This window comes from Homo sapiens, chromosome 18, assembly GCF_000001405.40.
Source record: "Homo sapiens chromosome 18, GRCh38.p14 Primary Assembly".
NCBI classification, from domain to species: Eukaryota; Metazoa; Chordata; class Mammalia; order Primates; family Hominidae; genus Homo; species Homo sapiens.
The window spans coordinates 48,342,097-48,361,392 of NC_000018.10; the positions used below are offsets into that span (position 1 = coordinate 48,342,097).

Genomic DNA, 19,296 nt, shown 5'->3' on the forward strand with positions numbered 1-19,296 from the left:
GTCTAAGCCTTGTGACATCTTTCTTCCCTCTCCCAACTGTCTACCAGAGCTTGCCCCCTCCCAGTGCCCAGGAGCACAGGTTCCCATGCCAGCTCATCTGCATAAAGGGATTGTGTTTATATTCAAAGTGGGCTGCTGCCCACTCAGAAGCTGCCCACTCAAAGGCAGCACATGTGACTGCACCCCCTGCCCAGAGCCCAAGTGGGACTGATGCCAACGTCTGGCTGGAGACATTTCTAAATATGAGCTTGGCACAAAGAGTCAGGTTCCCAGGCCTTCTCTGCCACAGGAGACCCAGCCAGGATTTTCAAGGCTGCCAGGAGGGACAGGGCTGGGGGCAGGCAGGATCGGGAGGCAGCCAGCTGAGACGGCCATCGTCCCCAGAAACATCGCCCGAACCCCTCCCTGGCCCTCCAGCCTTGTTAGGGGAAGAGAAAGGATTACCCTGCACCTAGAGAGTGTAATCAATTCCCCACAACCCTCGGCAGGAGGGACGGGAAAGCCACTGCCTGCTCAAATGTGTATGGATTAAAAATATACAAATGGAATATTTTTTTCTTCCCCTCTCCTCAACCCCCTGAAGCCTAGGATGCTTGTTAAAAATAGCCTTGCTGTGGCATGGATCCTACACAACCCAACGGCTGGCAGAAAAATTAAGGAGCCACTGGAGACAGCGCTGTTAAGTGGCTACCCCTGGGGAGTGGAATGGGGAGGGCCAGGAGGGAGGGAGGTGCTTTCAAGTGTTGCCGGACACACTTCTACATTGCCTGGATTTTTAACAACAAGCAGATATAAAATAAGTTCATTGTTTTTTACTGGAGTTTCATCCTTTGCATCCTCCAGCCTACGTTTAAGGCTGAATTCATACTTAGTGACCCGACAGTACCTGCTGGCTGGCCTGGCAGTGCTCCAAGGAGACCCAGGACGCTCAGGCCACCCGGTACAAACACAGCCCAGCATCAAGAAAACAGCACTGAATCAGTCAGTCTTGGATCTGTAACCAGCTGGCTGTGCGACCTTAGGTAAGTTGCTTGAGCTCTCTGGGCCTCAGTTTCCTTAACTGTAAAATGATGCGGTTAGATTAAATGTTAAGCCAGGTACCTTCTACTACTAGAAGGTATTAGATCTAACTGCATCATTTTACAGTACCTTCTAGCACCCTCTAGAAGGTATTCTAGTCCTAGCATTTCCTAATTTTAAGGATTGAGGAAAAACATCTAAGATTTGCCCTGTGTTTGTCCCCACCATGAACAGTGAGAGGAATTTGTCCCTGGGCAAATTCCTGCCTCATCTATAACATAGAGTAATAATACCCACACCCAAAGGCTGTTGTAAATATTAAATGCAATAAAATAAAAAAGTACTTGCTCATTGTAGGAACTTAACATCCTTCTATTCCTTTCTTCCTCCTATATTTAGCCCACACTCTGGAGGCCGCATTGCTGGCTGGTTAAGAAATGTGGGCTCTGGAATCAGGTTTGTATCCCAGCTCCACCACCTATCAGCTGTGTGACCTTGGGTAAGCAACTTAATTTCTCTGTGCCCTGGCTTCTTCATCTATGAAACAGGAGTGGGTCGGGAGTGGTGGATGTGCTGCCCACGCCCACACTCCTTCCCCTAATAGCCTGTTGGGCTCCCAGTTTTCAATCTGCATCATCTGCGGATCTGGATTTTGGAACTTCCTTAACAGGCCCCCTCCTCTCTCCCAACCTCTCTAAACTTCCTGGCCCACAGCTGCCTGCCACCTGCAGATTGTTCCACTGGCCTATCCCCTTCCCTCTGCACTCCCTCCCCCGCCTGCTTTGGTCTTTACTCAGCAGGCTATGCACCTGGCTAGGAGTGGGGCTTCTACCCTGGAGCCATGGGGATGTGTGTTTTATTTATTTATTTATTTAAATTTATTTTTGAGATGGAGTCTGGCTCTGTCACCTAGGCTGGAGTGCAGTGGCACGATCTCGGCTCACTGCAACCTCCACCTCCCAGGTTCAAGCTATTCTCCTGCCTCGGCCTTCCGAGTAGCTGGATTGCAGGCACACACCTCCACACCCGGCTAATTTTTGTATTTTTAGTAGAGACGGGGTTTCACCTTGTTGGCCAGGCTGGTCTTGAACTCCTGACCTCAAGTGATCCACCCACCTCAGCCTCCCAAAGTGATGGGATTATAGGCGTGAGCCACCACACGTGGCCGGGAAGTGTGTTTTAAATCAGTGCTTGTCAAACTTCTACGTGCTTATGAATCACCTGGGATCTTGTCACAATGCAGGTGCTGTTCAGTAGGTCCCAGGTGGAGTCAAGATCCTGCATTGCTAACAAGCTCCCAGGGGATGCCCATGCCACTGGTCTGGGATCACCTTCTGATTAGCCAGGCTGCAGAGTGGAGGACGTCCTGGCACGTGTATGGTGAGGGGAAGGGGAAAGGGGGAAAAAAAGGGAGACAGGGACAAGGCCAGCCAGTTATCCAAAACAGAGAAGGAGTAGAATTTAGACAAAGATGGTATAATGGAGATCAAGTGTGGATTCAAGAGACAAAGAGGAAAAGTAGGAGAACGCTTTATGAAATTATGACATTAGCCAACCAATAAAAATAATGCTTATTGAGATAATGCAGCAACACAGAAGAATGCTTATAGCATATTAACTCAAAAAGCAGACTACCAATTATATGGATACTATGTCTTCAACGCCGCCAAATGCAGGTTTAGGAAAGCTGATAAGTCATGAGGACCATGAAGGTTGTGCTGTGGTAATGTAACGACATGTGTTTTTATTTATTTGTCATTCTCTGGATTTTCTGGAAGAAGTTGTGTCATTTTTGTAATTTAAAATTTATCTTCTATATACTCTCTGATGTCCACTCCTCAAAATCACCAGTTATTCTTTGTTATGGAGGTTTTCTGTATTTTAAGCACAAACTGCCATTGTTGCAAAGGCTGCAAAATGGTGCATTAAATCTTCTCAGTCAAACCCAAAAATAAAGCAACCCAGATTCTGTTTTTCCTCTAAGCCAAGGGTCCAGCGCTTTGGAAGGCTGGTGCTATCACCTCTCACTATAGCAACAGGAAGACCTTGGTAACCCCGAGCTTACAGTTATTAAGGGTAAAAATAGGAAGTCTGTGGATAGCTGTTCAGTAAGAAGCTGCAGTAGGTGTGCACTGGACAGGCTGGGTTTGGAGCCCTTTCTTGCAGGAAATAGAAAGCAAAAATCAGACTCCAGGAGCTGGTTCCTGCAGGATTACTAGGAGTGCTTGGCATTTTCTTCTTTGTTTCCTATTTCAGGGCTATCAGCTACCTTTCAAACTGGTTTCTGACATGCGTAGAGGTGGACTCTTCTAGAACAGCAGCCTCAGAATTCACTTAGGAATTGGGCATGTTCACCCGACTCCCAAATGCCCAACCCCCAAGGTGCCCTGCGCACTTCTGTTGTGCTTTCCTGGCATACCAGCACCGCCCCCCACACCCCCAGACCTCCATCCCACTCTGTCTCTTCAGCATGCTCCTGGGCGGGTATTTCAGGAGTATATTTCTGTCTCTTCAGCATGCTCCTTGGCAGGTATTTCAGGTCCCCCAGTGTCCCAACAAGGCCTTGGCTCCGACCTCTGGGAGGCTGGAGAGGGTCCCAGCCCCAGTCTGGCTGATCCTGCCTGAGGTGCAGTGTCTGGCCCCAGCCCTGCTGCCCAGTTCCTGGATCCATTTTGCACTCTGGCAAACCAAGTGCAAGGCCCAGCTCTGCTGCCATCTGGCTGTGGGAACTTGGGCAAATCATTTCCCATCTCTGAACCTCAATTACATGATCTATAAAAATGTTAAAATGGGTTTATGGGATCTCTTGGTCCTATCTGGCTCTCATACTCTATGATGCCCATGGAAATAACCATTTATCTAGTAATACAGGTGAGATATTTCACATACAACGATTTTCTAGACAACTGAACAACTGAACATTGCCCCACTAAGCAACAAAATGTGTTTGATTTTTAAACCTACTGCATAAAGTATTCTTTTAATGTTTACATGCTTCTCTTCCTCACCATGTTGGCCAGGCTGGTCTCAAACTCCTGACCTCAAGTGATCGGCAAATGACACAAACCCTAAAATGTGTGTACTTTCTGCCCCAGCTTCACCCCACAAAGCACTTGAAGGGCTGAGATGCTGAACATGACTGAACCTTGTCTTGCTGACCCTCTGCCACCAGCACAAGGCTCTTTGCCATGCTGAGCATTTGTCTCTGTCTCTCTGCTTTTCTTCTTCTATCCACCCCTTCCTCATAGTCAGTCTCCCATGAGTCATGCCCTGGTTGAGAACACCTGCCTCAAGCCGCTTCCTGTACCTCTAATGCAGAACATGGGTTCCCCCAAGGCTGGGCAACCCAGGGTTCTGAGTGAGGGTGGGGGCAGGGGTGTTCTTGGAAATAAGGTGCCAGGCTTTAGCCATTTTTGCTAACCAGAGGCCCTTTTACCTGACTTTGCCATCTGTGTCTGTGTTCTGGATAGGAGAGGTTGCTTGCAGGCTGGTCTCTGGGTAAGCAGAGTGTCACTGGGCGCTGCTTCCTTCTGTCTCAATGGCTGGTTTCCCCAGAGCGGGGCTAACAGACCATCAGAGGAGCTGACCAACCACGGAGGCCAGATGAGAAAGTGAAATCAGATTTAGAATTTCACTCCAACTCTACATCCCTAGCATCATCACCCTTTTCTTTTTCCTTTTTTTTTTTAGATGGAGTCTTGCTCTGTTGCCAGGCTGGAGTGCACTGGTGGGATCTTGGGTCACTGCAACCTCTGCCTCCCGGGTTTAAGTGATTCTCCTGCCTCAGCCTTCTGAGTAGCTGGGATTACAGGCACGCGCCACCACACCTGGCTAATTTTTGTATTTTTAGTAGAGATGGGTTTTCACCATGTTGGTCAGGCTGGTCTCGAGCTCCTGACCTCATGATCCACAAGCCTCAGCCTCCCAAAGTGCTGGGATTACAGGCATGAGCCACCACGCTGGGCCAGCATCACCCTTTTCTATAGAGTGATTCCCAGTTTTTGTTTGTTTTTTTTTTTTTTTTTTTTTTTTGAGACGGAGTCTCGCTCTGTTACCCAGGCTCACGGCAACTTCCTCCTCCTGGATTCAAGCCATTCTCCTGCCACGGCCTCCCAAGTAGCTGGGACTACAGGCACGCACCACCATGCCCTCAAGCTCCTGACCTCAAGTGATCGGCCTCCCAAAGTGCTGGGATTATAGGCGTGAGCCACCACTCCCAGCCGTGATCCCCAAATTTCAATATGCTCTTGCCTGTTGCTTTTTCCCATAAAAGATACCATAATTCCTCAGTTGAGGCTTTCTTTTCCCTGCTTCCCCTAGGAAGCCCTCCAGAGGCAGGAGGTTAGAGGCAGGCTTCCTCAGACGCAGAACTGACTGGCAGAGCAACACGTGTGCACCCACTCCCTCCTCTCCCCGTCAAGCAGCATGAATCCTCACCCTGCTGCCTCTGCCTTGGGCCCCTGGGCACACCAGCTTCCACCAAGGCTTCACATGCTATGGGGTGGGCAGCCTCTTCCCTTACCTGACCCAGCCAACCTCTGCTTTCTCACCAACCCTACCAAGATTCCACTGGAACATCTGAACTCCCTGCTCAGGGATGGAACCAGCAAAGAGCCTGGAGGTTGTGGTCACAAAAGAGAATTGGAGTTTTCCAGCAGGGAGGTAGGCCATTCTGAGAGATGTTAATACCTATGAAAAGGCCAGGCTCCAGCCACATGGAAGGGAGGTTCTGGGGATGAAACACCGAAGTCACCTTGAGACCAGGGTGGGAAATGGTTTGCAAGACACTGAGGTCAACATGCAAAAAGGCAGGAATCAGGGCTGAGGAGGCCTGGAAGGCAGGTACAGAGGTTTCTGTGAGCCCACAGCCCTGTTGGCCTGCCCCAGGGAGCAGCATGGTAGCAATGACATGAGCCAAGACTGTAAAATAGCATGAGCCTTGCAAAATAATAACTACCAAGAGCCAGGCATTTTCCAAGGCTAACTCACTGCAGTCATCACAACAACCCTGCCCTTGAGTTGGCACCTACTTCCACTTTGCCACCTGCAGGGTGGAGGGGTGGGGATGTTACACACTGTTAGGAGTTGATGCCGTCATAGGAGCCAGAGCAGAAGGCAAGTTCAGATTTAGAATTCAACCCCAGCTTTATACATCCCTGATGTCATCCTAGGTCCGAGTCTAGCTCCCAATTTTACAGATGAGTAAACTGAGGCTTACAATGGGTAAGCAGCCAAGGTCACACAGTTTATAAAGGCAGAGCCTGGATACAAATCCTCACCTACCTCATTCCAAAGTGAACCCTCTTCACTGCCACACTTCCCTGCAGTCCACAGTTCCCCACTAGGGCAAGGACCATGACTGCCTGACTGTTTTGTTCCAGAGGATCCTGCTATCTCACAAATAAAAATGTTGCTCCAGGCCAGGAGTGGTGGCTCATGCCTGTAATCCCAGCACTTTGGGAGGCCAAGGTGGGAGGGTCACTTGAGGTCAGGACTTCGAGACCAGCCTGACCAACATGGTGAAACCTTGTCTCTACTAAAAATACAAAAATTAGCTAGGCGTGGTGGCACATGCCTATAATCCCCGCTACTCGGGAGGCTGAGGCAGGAGAATAGCTTCAACCTGGGAGGCAGAGGTTGCAGTGAGCTGAGATCGTGCCACTGCACTCCAGCCTGGGTGACAAGGCTAGACTTTGTATCAAAAACAAACAAACAAAAAACACAGCTCCTGATCTGCCATAGAGGCTAAGAGTGCCAGTGAGGTCATTCCCCTGGGGAGGGCCGGTTTCCAAGAGTTCCTGAGTGGACATGCATCACCTGGCTGTGCCTGCTGCCCCTCTGCTCTCACACACACACATGCATCTGGCCAAGGGAAAAAGCCCTGAGGGACAGATGGGAGGCATGGAAGCTGGGGGAGGGGCAAGGAGGTGGCAGAAGAGCACAGTAGGGGCCACAGGGTCAAGGGGGCTTTAATGCAGCCCTAGGCATGGTGCTGGCTGGCTGGTGGCTGGCAGGACCTATTAGCAGCTTGCTCAGTGGCTCCTTCAAATTGAAAGGTCACAGCATCCTGGCCATACCCATCAGGGGAGGGAGGACTAAAGGAGGAAAACATTTTTCCCCTCAGTATATTTTCCAATATGAAATGGGCATGGATGAAAGAAATGTCAGAGAAGAGCAATGATAAATTTTCTCTTTACATCAAGAAGACCAAGTTCAAGTCTGCATCTTTTTTTGATTAGTTTCTTGCATATTGCCTAATGCCCACCTAGCACCACCAGATGCAAACTATAGAGGCTGCATATGTGTTTTAGGGAGTCCCTATAATATGTTCTGTCCTGTTGAGATGACACATTGACAAATGAATAAAGCAGATCCCTACATAAGGGGGCGTGTGGTCTTGTGAGAGGAGGCTGGGCACACAGCTCCAAAGGCAGAGACCCTGAGTCACCCAATCTTGGAGTGATGCTGAAATGAATGATGTCCATGCTAAACGCTGGAGGAGGAAAGTTTAAAGTAGAATCAAGCTTTTCCAGAGGTGGTAGATCCTCCAGCCCTACCACCACTCAGACTAGTTGGCCAGCCACACGCAGGGGAATGAGCTAAAGTCTGGTCCATTAGGGCCCAAGATGGCAAAGGGCCTAGAAATTCCACATTTAACAGAGGCCATGCAGTGGGGGTACACAGTACTGGCATCCTGGAGGGCAGTTTTAAAGGGAGGGGGAGAGAGACTGCAAAACTCAGCCCAGGATGGGGACTACATTTTCTTCATTTTGTGGCCCCTGCACCTAGCACAGTGCCTGGCCTGTAATGGGAATGCCACCTGCCCTTCATAAACAGGGCTATGTCCCACAGCATTGACAGTCTGCTGCACTGCACGGCACTACACTGAAATGAGTGCGTTTCCTCAGTGCATGTGCTGAGTCCCACTCTAACTAGACTGGGACTCTTAAAAACTGTTTTCTTTGTTTATTGTTTTGAGTGGAATATTAGCTTTCTATTACTGCTGTAACAAATGGCCACACCCTTAGTGGTTTACACAACATGAATTCATTATCTTACAGTTCTGGAGGTTGAAGTCTGACAAGGGTCTCACTGGGCTAAAATCAAGGTGTCAGCTTAGCTGTATTCCTTCCTGGAGGCTCTAGGGAGGAACATCTCCTTGCCTTTTCAAGCCTCCAGGGGCTGCCTGCATTCCTTGGCTGGTGCACCTTCCTCCATCGTCAAAGCTAGAAGCATAGCATCTCTCTGAAGGTTCTTCCGTAGTTACGTCTCCCTCTCTGACCACGGCCAGGCAAGGTTCCTGCTTTTAAGGGCTTATGCGACTAGATTGAGCACATCTGGATAAACCAGGATAATTTCCCCATCTCAGTATCTATAACCTTAATCCCATCTGCAAAGCCCCTGTGTCACATAAGGCAACATACTCACAGGTTCTGGGGATTTGAGTGTGGACATTTTGGAGAGGCCATTTCCTGCCAACCACAAATAACAAATACATTCACATTGTTCAAAACCCAAATGGCATAAAAGGCTATAGATTGAAAAGGTGCCCTTCCACCCCTGTCGCCCACCACCCAGTTCCCCTCCCTGTTAACATTTCCTTGTGTTTCTATCCCAAGAGGTTTTATGCCTAAAGCAATAGCAGTATGTATAATTTTTACACCCATGGTACAGTACCATAATACTGTTCTGCAACTTGTTTTTATCATAACACCCTTGAGATTGTCCTGGATCCGTATATAAAAGCATCCTTGTTCTCTTTAATGGCTGCATACCCTTCCAGTCTGTGGATGCACTATAGTTGATTAATCTAGTCTCCTGCTGATGGACTCTTAAGTTGTTTATAATCTTTTGGTCTTACATACAACACTGCAGTGAACAATCTCGTATGTATACCATTTCCTGTATGTGCCTGGATGTCTGTAGAATAAATTCATATAAGTGGAACTCATGGGCCAAAGGACATCTGCATTAAAATTCCCCAGCTACTGCTGAATGGCCCTTCACAGAGCTGAACTAATGTACACACACACTCCCCACCCCAAGCCATGTGTGAGTGCGAGATGGAAGCCCTTTTTGACAGAGAAGCCACGGCTCACACCTCTTCTTTACCCCTCCCTGCTGCCCCCGTGTTTATTCCAGGGATGAACCCAGGAAGCCCTTGAGGATTGCTGCCACTCAAAATCCCCTGGACTCTTGTTGGTGACGGGGCAGGAGTGGAGAGGAGGACAAAGCCGGCAGCCAGCAAAGGAGGGCCCAAGTTCAAAGGTGTTAAAAGACCCGTGGCTTTGGGTGTCTCAACCAGCAAACTTCTCCTCCCTCACGGACTTTCTACAGGCTTGCAAGCCAACTGGTTTCCCCAGTGGGGAAAGTATACCACCACTGTCTAAAAGGAGGGCCTCTCGCCATGGATGTGCTACAAGAGGAGATAACAAATGCATTTGGGTTTCCAATGGCCCAGCTGCACCGTGTTAAGAAAAACGCCGTTTTCCTGCTCTTAATCCATTCCTGGTGGAGATGTTGCTTCAACTTGAAGGAGCCTTTTATGTGCTGAAGTCAACTGCAATCTAAAAGATAAGTTAAATCACTTATTCAGGAAGACAGGAAGCCTTTGACAGCAGTGACTGATTAAGATTTCACAGCAGCCAGAGCCAGGCCTACGGAACCCAAAGAGTGCTCGTTCCCTCACCAACCAGCACTGTTGGCCCCTCCTTGGCAGCAAGCCAAGCTCAGAATCCTACCCTCGGGGAGATTTCCCTCTGACAGAGCATGGAGGGGGCTGGAGCAGACAGAGGGGAGTGCTAAGTCCCAGCAGGTGAACCTGAGAGCCCTGATGACAGGAACTAGAGATACCCCACCCTCTGCCCAGCCCCCTTCCTCACCTCCATTTAGCCTTGGCCTGGTCTCCCATGGTCAGCTCAAGGGTCCCCTCTTCCAGGAAGCCTTCCCTGACCCTACAGGCCAGGACTCGCAGGTGCCTTTACACAACATGTTCCTAGAGCACTTGTACTTTACCCCATCCTCGCACCTTTGACTCTGAAGACTTGCCTGTCACCTGGCATGGCAGCCACTTGACTGTGAGCACTCTGGGGGCAGCACATGGTACCATGCTGGATGCCCACTAAGCTCTTGGCACGTGTTTGGAAGGCAGAGGAACCTGAGCTCAGGGAACAGAGTGACTACCTGCCTTGCCAGTGTCACCTGCCAGCTTATCCAAGTGCTCACAGCCCTGCTGGCTGCTAACCACTGGGCCAGGCCCTGGGGGCATCCGCAGTATTCCAACAGGGCTTCTTGTCCTAAAATGCCACCCAGGCCCCAAAGGCCCACTGTTAGAATCCACTCTTTTAGCAAAGCATCACCTCCAGAAAGTTCCCATCCCCAAGAGGAGGCACAGTCTCACCCTGTGGTCCTCTTCATCTGCTTGGCCAGCCAGGGATGGGGCTCAGGGGAAGGATTAATCTAGGGCCCAGGATGCTGACCAGGGTGAGCAGGCTGGAGGAGGCACTGGGGTGGGCAGTCCATGGGCAGCCTGGGGGCACTGGGTCCAGAAGATGAAAGTATGCCTCAAGGGCATCAAGGTAAGATCCCAACTTTACACATGAACAAAACCCTCAGAAGAGCAGAACTGGGCTAAGTTCAGGACAGAAGAGATGTGCAAGCAGGTGAGCAAATGATGTCAAGGTTGGAGGTGAGCTGAAAGGCGCAGGGGGTAGCTCTGTGGAAAGCACAGTGTTCACTGTGTTGGGAGGGCTGGGACCCAAGTTACTCCACCCCTAGTCCCCCACTTCTGCACCAGTGGTAGCCCTGGGCAGGCCATCAACCTTAGATATCTGAATATGAGAATCATCATCTGCCCTGCCTGCCTTGCACAACTACTGCTCTACATTAAATCAGAAAGGAGATGAGAAAATTCTCTAGAAGCCTAAAAGCAATATAGAAATAGAAACTGTTGTAACAATCATCATTTGCTTTTTCAGAGTGTCTTGCAGCCTGTATAGGGCTTTCCTATCCAGTAACCTCCTAACCCTCAAAACAACTCTGGGAGATAGGTATGGATATGTATACTCAATTTACAGATGTGAAAACTGAGGAACAGATAGTTCCAGCCCAGAATCACACCAATAACAAGGGGCTGAGGTGACAGCTATGTCCAGGTCTTCTGCTGCAAATAGAGTATTCTATTTACCACACCAAGATGTACCCTCCATTGTCTAAAATCACAAGCTCTGGCTGTACAGAAAACCCTCCTTATTCTTCAGTCTTTCTATGGATTTGTTGATTCCTCCTCCTTCTTCAATCCATCCGTGGATTTGCTGATTGACAAATGAGCTTCCCTGGTCTCCTTGTCATGGCACTGTTTGGGGGAGTTTGTGGTCAGAGTTTTTATCTGAGGACAAGAAACCAGGCTGCAGCCTGGGCTCAGCCTCTTATCCATTGTGGGGCTAAGGAAGAGTCCCTGTCCCCCAGTATTCTCCAATCCCATCTGATGTTAAAACCTCTTAATGACCCTGATCTAAGCATTTCCAGAAAAAGGTTCTCAGGGCCTTTCTGGGGGTGGCGGGGGCAATCCTTTGTGACAGCATGAAAAGCCGGATGGGGCTGGCCTGGTTGCAATGGCACACGCTAGGTTCCAGGCACTCCACACGTTTCTCATGATAACCTCGTGGTTGATACTCACACAGATGAGGAGCTGAAAGGCTGCAGGAGCTGCCCACCATCCTCACACAGCGTGGAAGTGGTAGCACCAAGACTGAGGCCCAGGAGGGGGGTCCAAAGGGCCATCCTGCATTTTCCATTGCAGCAGGGTGGGAAGGAGAGGGAGATAGAGACTTTACCTCTACTCTAAATCACCTCCTTAGGTTGCCATATTTTCCTTACTTCAATGAATTATGTGGAACAAAATACACTCAATTGGTAGCAGAAATCGGCCTCCAGTTTCTCAGATCCTCATTCAACGAAAGCATCCTTTGCAGGTGCCACTGCTTGGGAATACACCTGTAATTCACATCTGCACACAAAACTCCATCTTTCTTTGAGGCCTGAACAAACAGGTTTTTGTCGTTTTGTGGTTTTTGTTTGTTTGTTTGTTTAAGAGATGGGGTCTCACTATGTTGCCCAGGCTGGCCTCAAACTCCTGGGCTCAAGGGACCCTACTGCCTCAGCCTCCAGAGTAGCTGGGATGACAGGTGCACACCACTGTGTCCAGCTTTACAAATAGGTTTCTTAGGCTGACCTTATCAATCTCAACATCAACACAATTAAGGAATTTGCTCACAATAGTCTCCTGTTGGAGTCTTTACGTGCACGAACATCGTTCTCACAGACCATCCAATATGGACAAACTTGACTTGGAAACAGGAAAATAGGGAGGTAATTAATCACCTGGTAAAAGGACACACCCCAGATGTACTTTTCACATCACCATCCCCAAATATGCCTTAAGGGGCATCAAGGTAACATCCCAGCTTTATACCACATGAATAGAGCTTCTCTATTCATGTGGTTTTCAGAACATATCCATCTACTAGACTCAGGAACTTGACTTGAGAGACATGGATATTTCTTGCTTCCTGGCAGCAAATCCAACAGCAATTCCAGTCCCTGCAGCCAGTTAGGCAGGGAGGAAAGGGCTGGTGTGTCAGGGCTGGTCCAAGCACACTGGTATACTTGAGTCAACATCTGCAGCAGAGGAAGGGAGACAGAGGGGACTGAATAAACGGAGCTGTGCCATTGGGAGTCCACCAAGCACGCCAATGCCCTCCTACGCCCCTCAGCTCCAGGCCTCCTGGCCTCACACCACCCTAGAACATTCTTGTTGCCCAAACCTCAGAGGAGGGCTTTCCCTGAACCAACTCTGACTTCCTGCTTCCTCTCTGACCCTACATGGTGGTACTCCACCTCTGCCAGACATCCCTTCCCTGCTCTGCCTGCAGCTTCATCAAAGCCTACTGGGCCCTGGAGAAGAGAGCCATGCCAATCCCCCCTGCAGTGAGCTAGCACAGTGCATTCAGGTTAGTTACTTTCCTTCTTGGGCATCTCTGGTTTATAACATGAGCCTCTTGGAGAGGGCGGTATTTTGAACAAAAGGAAATAATCTTTCATTGTGAAATTTCAAGGACTGTGGGGGAAGAAATCCAGTGAGGCTGGAGGGCAGTAATGGGGGAACAGAGAGATCTCTGAGATACAACAATGTCACACGGACCAGCCATGAGCTACTACTGGAAATCTGTTTTTCAAAATTTAAAAGAGTCAATTTCCAGATGTCTGCTTAGCGGAGCCAAACTGCTGTTGATTTGTTCCCAGTTCGCCACGGAATAAAGTCTGAACTCCTCACCCGAGCACTCCAGACCTTCCACGTTCTGGCTCCCATAAAGCCTGCTCTCCTTCCTGCCCCTCCTAGGAACCCCACTTAGCCATTCGCTTCCGCACTATCCTGCAGACCTGCTCGGGGCTTCCCAGCCTGCACACTAGCCCAGGCCTGAGCATGCTCCTTTACCAGCACCACTGCACTGCACAACTCCAGTGGGTGCCGTGCTCATGCCAGGCTGTGTGTGTGCAGTGCACAGCATGGCAATCCATGTGCTGCCTCATCCATAGCCTCCACTTCAGGAAGTCTCCCGTGCACCCCTGCAACCTTCCTCTTCTCAATTTCTTTGTTGCCTAGAACCTGCAGCTCACTTCAGGCACTGGACACTCCCTGCTTCACATTCTCTTGATCTGAGTGGGTGGGGGTAGGTCCCCAATCAGAGCACAAATGCCCTGAGGGCAGTGACTGAGTCCTAAGACCTCACACCCCAGGTGAGCGGGCTGAGAAGTTCACGTTGGCTTTCTACTGTGAACTTTTCCTGGGCCAGCATCCACAGCAGCAACAGGCAACTTGCTAGAAATGCACATTCTGGGGCCCCACCCCAGAAGTCTTGAATCAGATGCTCTGGTGGTGGGGCCCAGCACCTGTTTTGGCAAGCCCACCAGGCAACTCCGATGCGCATGAGGCTTGAGACCCACTGAGTTATAGGATCCTCAACATCCTTTCTGGGTTTATTCAACAGGGTTTTCCAGCTAGGGAAGGGGCAGGCATCATCTTGTCGGACTGTTACAGAGACCCCATCCCCAGGTATTTCTCAGGCATCTCCAAGTGAACTCGCTCAGAAAGCCTCCATGCAGCCTGAAGTGCTATCATGCCAAGGTTGCCAGCCAACAGCGCAGAGCAGCCAGGATGCTTCAGCGCTCCTCCAAAGGGCTCTCCTGTTCAACAAGCCTTCCCTGGGCCCTGCTAGCTGGGTGGTTACATTATTCAGCAACCAAGTAGAGTTTAACAGTGTCCCTGTCTCCCAACCAAGCAATTCACCCCAACTGTGCTACGGGCTTTTCCAACACAAAGCAGGGCAGTGTTCAGGAACTTGGCAACAGGAAGGCCCTCCTCCAGGTCCCCACACCTTTTCACAGTCTGCCCAGGCTAAAGCCCCTGGCATCCCATCTCCTAGGGCAGAAGTGAGTAAGGAAGGGAGGTCAGACCAGATATAAAGAGCCAGATCCCAGCGCCACTCTGGACTTACAGAATCAGAATTGCTAGGAGTACCTGGGGATCCAGATGTTGATCAAGTCTCCCTGCCATTCTTATCGGACAATTCAAGAAATGATCAATGGGCCGACGTGCATTATCTAACAGATGAGGGAACTGAGGCCCAAAGCAGTGAGTGACTGGCATTCCCTGACCATCCCAGGCCACAGAGCATTCTCTCCACCCTCTCAGCCCCCACAGCACCCACCACCTGGGTCCCCCTCACAGTTCCTAACACACATAATCCTACACTAAACTTCTAAACACTGCCCTATGTGGCCCTGCTTTCTCCCCCACTGAACTGGAAGGGACTAGAGACAGGACCAGGCCTGAGACAGGACTCCTCCCACAGTACTGTGCTCAGTTCAGGGCACAGGGAAGGAATGAACCATCCCCTGAGGCAGCCTGCATTCTCCATGAGCATATGTGCTAAGATTAATCTATGAGATCACCAGATTGTCACCTTGAAACACACCGGAAGGTCTGTCCCAGAGGGGTGAGAGAACATATAGATTCTGATGGGAGGCAGACGGCCACCTGCAGAATAGGTCGGGGGTGGCCAGGAGGAGGAAGTTAGAGCAAGAAGCCAGTGCTCCTGTTGGAGGCTGGGAAGGGGGAGGGAGGAATGCCACAAAGACAAACTGCACCTTCTTGTTGATTTTGCTCAGCCAGGCCCGGGAGAAACACAGCTGGGAACTGGGACGCAGAGCTCACACTTCCTCACCTCTCCCTCCCAGGAGCCCTTCCCTGACACATAGGAAAGGTGACAATGAAACAGAGACAAAGAAGAGCTCCGAGGAGTAAACAAGCCTGCTCAGCGCTCAGCGTCGTTTAGGTGCTGGAGGGCCCAGGAATTCTCCCCAGGTGCCCCGGGCAGTGTAGGACTCCTCAATTTGCCTTTCCCCAGCAGCACAGTCGGTGACTGCCAAGGTGAGGAGCTTTGGGGAACTCCTGGAAGGTCTCACTAGTATTTGAACTTTGCCCCACCCAACCCTGACCAGGGCCTCCCACCTCCTCCAGCCAGTCATGTAGACTGGTAATAACAAACACCCCAAAATTTCAGTGGCCTGAGACAACAAAAGTGGATTTCATGCTCATAGGACATGTCCACTAATTCTTCTCCTCAATCCAGCTTTTTCATCTCCAAATTTAGCCTAAACTAACGGCACAGAGTAGAAGTTTTTGTTACACAGCGGATAAAGTTTGGATGCTTGTCCCCTCCAAATCTCATGTTGACATGTAATCCCCAGCGTTGGAGGTGAGGGCTGGTGAGAGTGCTTGGATCACAAGGGCAGATCCCGCATGAATGGCTTAGTGCCATCCCCTTGGTGATAAGTGAGTTATTGCTCTGAGTTCATGTGAGATCTGGTTGTTTAAAAGTGTGTGGTAGGGACCGGATGCAGTAGCTCAAACCTGTAATCCCAACATTTTGGGAGGCCGAGGCGGGTGGATCAGTTGAGGTCAGGAGTTCGAGAACAGCCTGGCCAACAATGGTGAAACCCCGTCTCCACTAAAAATACAAAAATTAGCCAGACATGGTGGCGGGCACCTGTAATCCCAGCTACTTGGGTGGCTGAGGCAGGAGAATTGCTTGAACCTGGGAGGTGGAGGTTGCAATGGGCTGAGATCATGCCACTGCACTCCAGCCTGGGTGACTGAACGAGACTCCACTTCAAAAAAATAAAGAAAAAGTATGTGACACCTCTGCCCTGTCTCTCTTGCTCCCACTCTCACCCTGTGACACTGCCTGCTCTCCCTTTGCTTTCCACCATGATTGGAAGCTTCCTGAGGCCTCACCAGAAGCAGATGCTGGAGCCAGGCTTGTACAGTTGGCAGAACTGTGAGTCAATCAAACCCTCTTTTCTTTATTAATTACCCAGCCTCAGGTATTTCTTTATAGCAACGCAAAAACGGCCTAACACAGCAGCACAACTCTTGCAGGCATGGAATTGATTTCTGTGCCAGTCAGGATAGGCTGGGCCATGCTGCAGTAACAACAAACAACTCCCAAATTGCAGTAGCTGAGAACACTGAGGGTTTATGCTAATAAATATAGGGCTTCTTTCTGGAGTGATGCAAATGTTTTAAAATTAGAGAGTGGTGACAAGCCTGTGAATATACTAAAAAACATTGCACTGTACACTTAGAGGGATGAACTTTATCTCAATAAATGAGAGGCATGAATTTTATCTCAATAAAGCTATTAAAAACTAGTCCCGGTTTCCTCCTCCCTTATGCCTGGCTGGTGTTGATCACAGGTCCACAGGGGCCTTCCTGTTGGAATCACTCAAGGTTTAGGCTGATGCAGTAGCCCCTGTCTCCAATGCTTCCTGCTGTCCTGTGAGCTCTGGAGGGCCTTGTACTGGCAACAAGATGCTCTGACCTGGAAGTGAAACCCATACTTCACTCACAACTTACTGCCCGGAGTACATCCTGTGACCCCAGCCCCCAACAAAGGGCACAGGAAGGATAATCCTGCCAAGGGCCAGATGACAAGAGAACTAGCTGGTGGCCATCACCCCCATGAACTCACACGCACAGCCACCCAGAACTGGGGCCTGGCCTTCCTCCATCCCCCATGAGAAGGAGAAATTTTTTCTCTGTGTCATTTTTCACCCTAGGGTGAAGGAAAGCTTTCAGAGCAGGTCTAGAAAGAGGAAACTATGAAGATGATCAAAACATGACTTTCAAAGAAAATGACAGGGAACACTATTATAATATGTAACACAGCAATCTTATAATACATAACAACACTCTAATATAAAATATAACAAAGTTTTTATAGTAATGGCAACATGACAGGTACAATGCCACCATGACAGTGAGACAGACAGGCCAGATGTACGAAGGAAAATTTCAAGAATGAGTTTGACAGCTGCTGGACCTTCCAACAGATCAAGCATACGAAAGGAGGCCAGAGAAGGCCTGCCCTGCAAGAATGGCCCCTTGAAAGCCCATCAAAAGCTGGTGGTGTTAGTTCTGCGATGTCACTTTGTGACTGTAACAGGCTGTCCTTTTCCTTTTGCCCAAAGAGAGAAGAGTGAGAGAGAACTTGGAAAGGAAGCCATGGATGGTGCAAAAGAGGAACAAGATGTCATTTGTGCTGAGGCCAGGGCTCTGGGAGGGCAGTGCAGAAGGGAGGAGGGGAAGCGAGAGGCTAGAGACCCCTGCCCTTCTAGGGGTGCTTAACATCTGTGGGGACTTGGGAGATTTTTGACTCGGGAAAAGTCTCCAGAAAAGCATACAGCACATTGGGGTTTCCCTGTGTCTCAGAGCTGCAGTTGTTCTGGTTGCTTCCATAGGCCCAGCCAAAGCATTCTTGGATGTGTTTGAATCTAGAATTGTTCATGAATAGACCCTTCAGGGAGGAAGCTCCCTGCTGTCTGCTGAGGTCAGAACGTGGCCAGTCTGGAAATGTTGACTCTCACTATCTGTGAATTAGCAGTAGATCCCCTGCGAGAATAACTACTTTGCATTTGCAAGCACTGGAATACTACAACAATATGACACTAAATGGACCAATTCAATTCAATTCTATAAACATTTGCACCTCCTTGCACTTCAGACTTGAGAGCAATAGCATGGAAGAGAAAATGCGTAACCGAACTGCGGACAGAGCAGAGGAGTTAGAGGAGACTCCTGCAGAGTCAACAGTTGAGCTGGGATTTAGACAATGAATATTTCTCAAATATGAGGTTGGGATGGTGGTAGGCATGGGGGATTTTAGGGGAAACTTATGGCATGTGAAAAATCACAGAGCCATGACATGCCACGACAGATTTGAGGAATGAATGCAAGTATGAGAGGAGCGTGGGAAGAGATGCCCCTAGGCAGGCGGGCCAGGGCCAGAGTACTAGGGGCTTTGAATTGGACTTGACCCAGGAGGACAGAAGGAGCCAGGGGAGGGAGAGAACACGGTAAGGGGCTGATGAGTAGCCCAGGTGAGAGACGAGGGACTGAACCAAAATAGTGACGGGCACTGAGGGGAGCCTGCAGGTTTGAGTGGTCTAGTGGAATCCCTAGACCAAGTGACCAGCCAAAGGCAGGGGTGAGTGTGAGGGGAAGGAAGAGTGTGGAGGAGCCCGAGGAAGGAGAGTGTCATGAAGGAGGCATGTGGCAGAGACCCCAGGTAGATAAGATGCAGCAGCTGGTGGTGGTGGGTCGCTGGCGGAAGGGTGAGGAAAGGGAGGTCTCCTTGTGGGTTATGTGTCCCTGAAAGCTGGTTGTTAGGCAAAGGCAGAAAGATGAAAGCTAGGGCATCCAAGGGTCACAGGTGTGTTTTGTTTTTCCTGGGGGTATGATGAGTGTGTTTCTGTTCTGAGGGGAAGATGCCAGTGGAGGGAGATGGAATTTGAAGATAGAGGCTAGGGAGGGAGGAAGGCTGGTTAGTGGTACCAGGATGGCCAAGGTCTGCAATGAGCATGGTGGGGTAGCCTGGGCAGGAGACCCAGGACTACGAACATCTCATCTCCCTGCGTCAGGCCAAATTCACAAGGCTTGGTGTCCAGAGAGTCACAGGTGACAGAATACAGAACACAACCGCTTTATGCAATATTTTCATTTGTGTGGAAATCTTGGCTTCTCAAAATGTTTTTATTCATGATTTCACTTCTTCCTCACAATGATCCTATAAGACAGGCACTAATATTCCAGTTTGACAGACGAGGAAGCTGAGTTCAGAGAGGGTAGGTAGCAGCCCCAGAGTTACACAGCCC

The 19,296-nt window shown here is 49.7% G+C and overlaps 1 protein-coding gene and 1 long non-coding RNA gene across 16 annotated transcripts in view; one reads left to right on the plus strand and one right to left on the minus strand.

The window, feature by feature from the left end:
* ZBTB7C (zinc finger and BTB domain containing 7C) overlaps positions 1–19,296 on the minus strand; it is a 385,914-nt gene that overhangs the window by 315,425 nt on the left and 51,193 nt on the right. The window contains exons 3-4 of one of the 15 annotated variants that reach the window (NM_001371290.1): positions 8,449–8,492; positions 4,457–4,602 (exon numbers count right to left, since the gene is read on the minus strand). The exons of the other annotated variants lie outside the window; for them this stretch is intronic. The gene's annotated coding sequence lies outside the window, so the exon portion shown is untranslated. The remainder of the gene's footprint in view (positions 1–4,456; positions 4,603–8,448; positions 8,493–19,296) is intronic. 15 annotated transcript variants of the gene reach the window in all.
* Positions 755–13,358, plus strand: LOC124904352 (uncharacterized). The gene is made up of 3 exons (XR_007066457.1): positions 755–1,022; positions 1,420–1,519; positions 9,163–13,358. It is a non-coding gene; the product is annotated as an uncharacterized LOC124904352 (long non-coding RNA).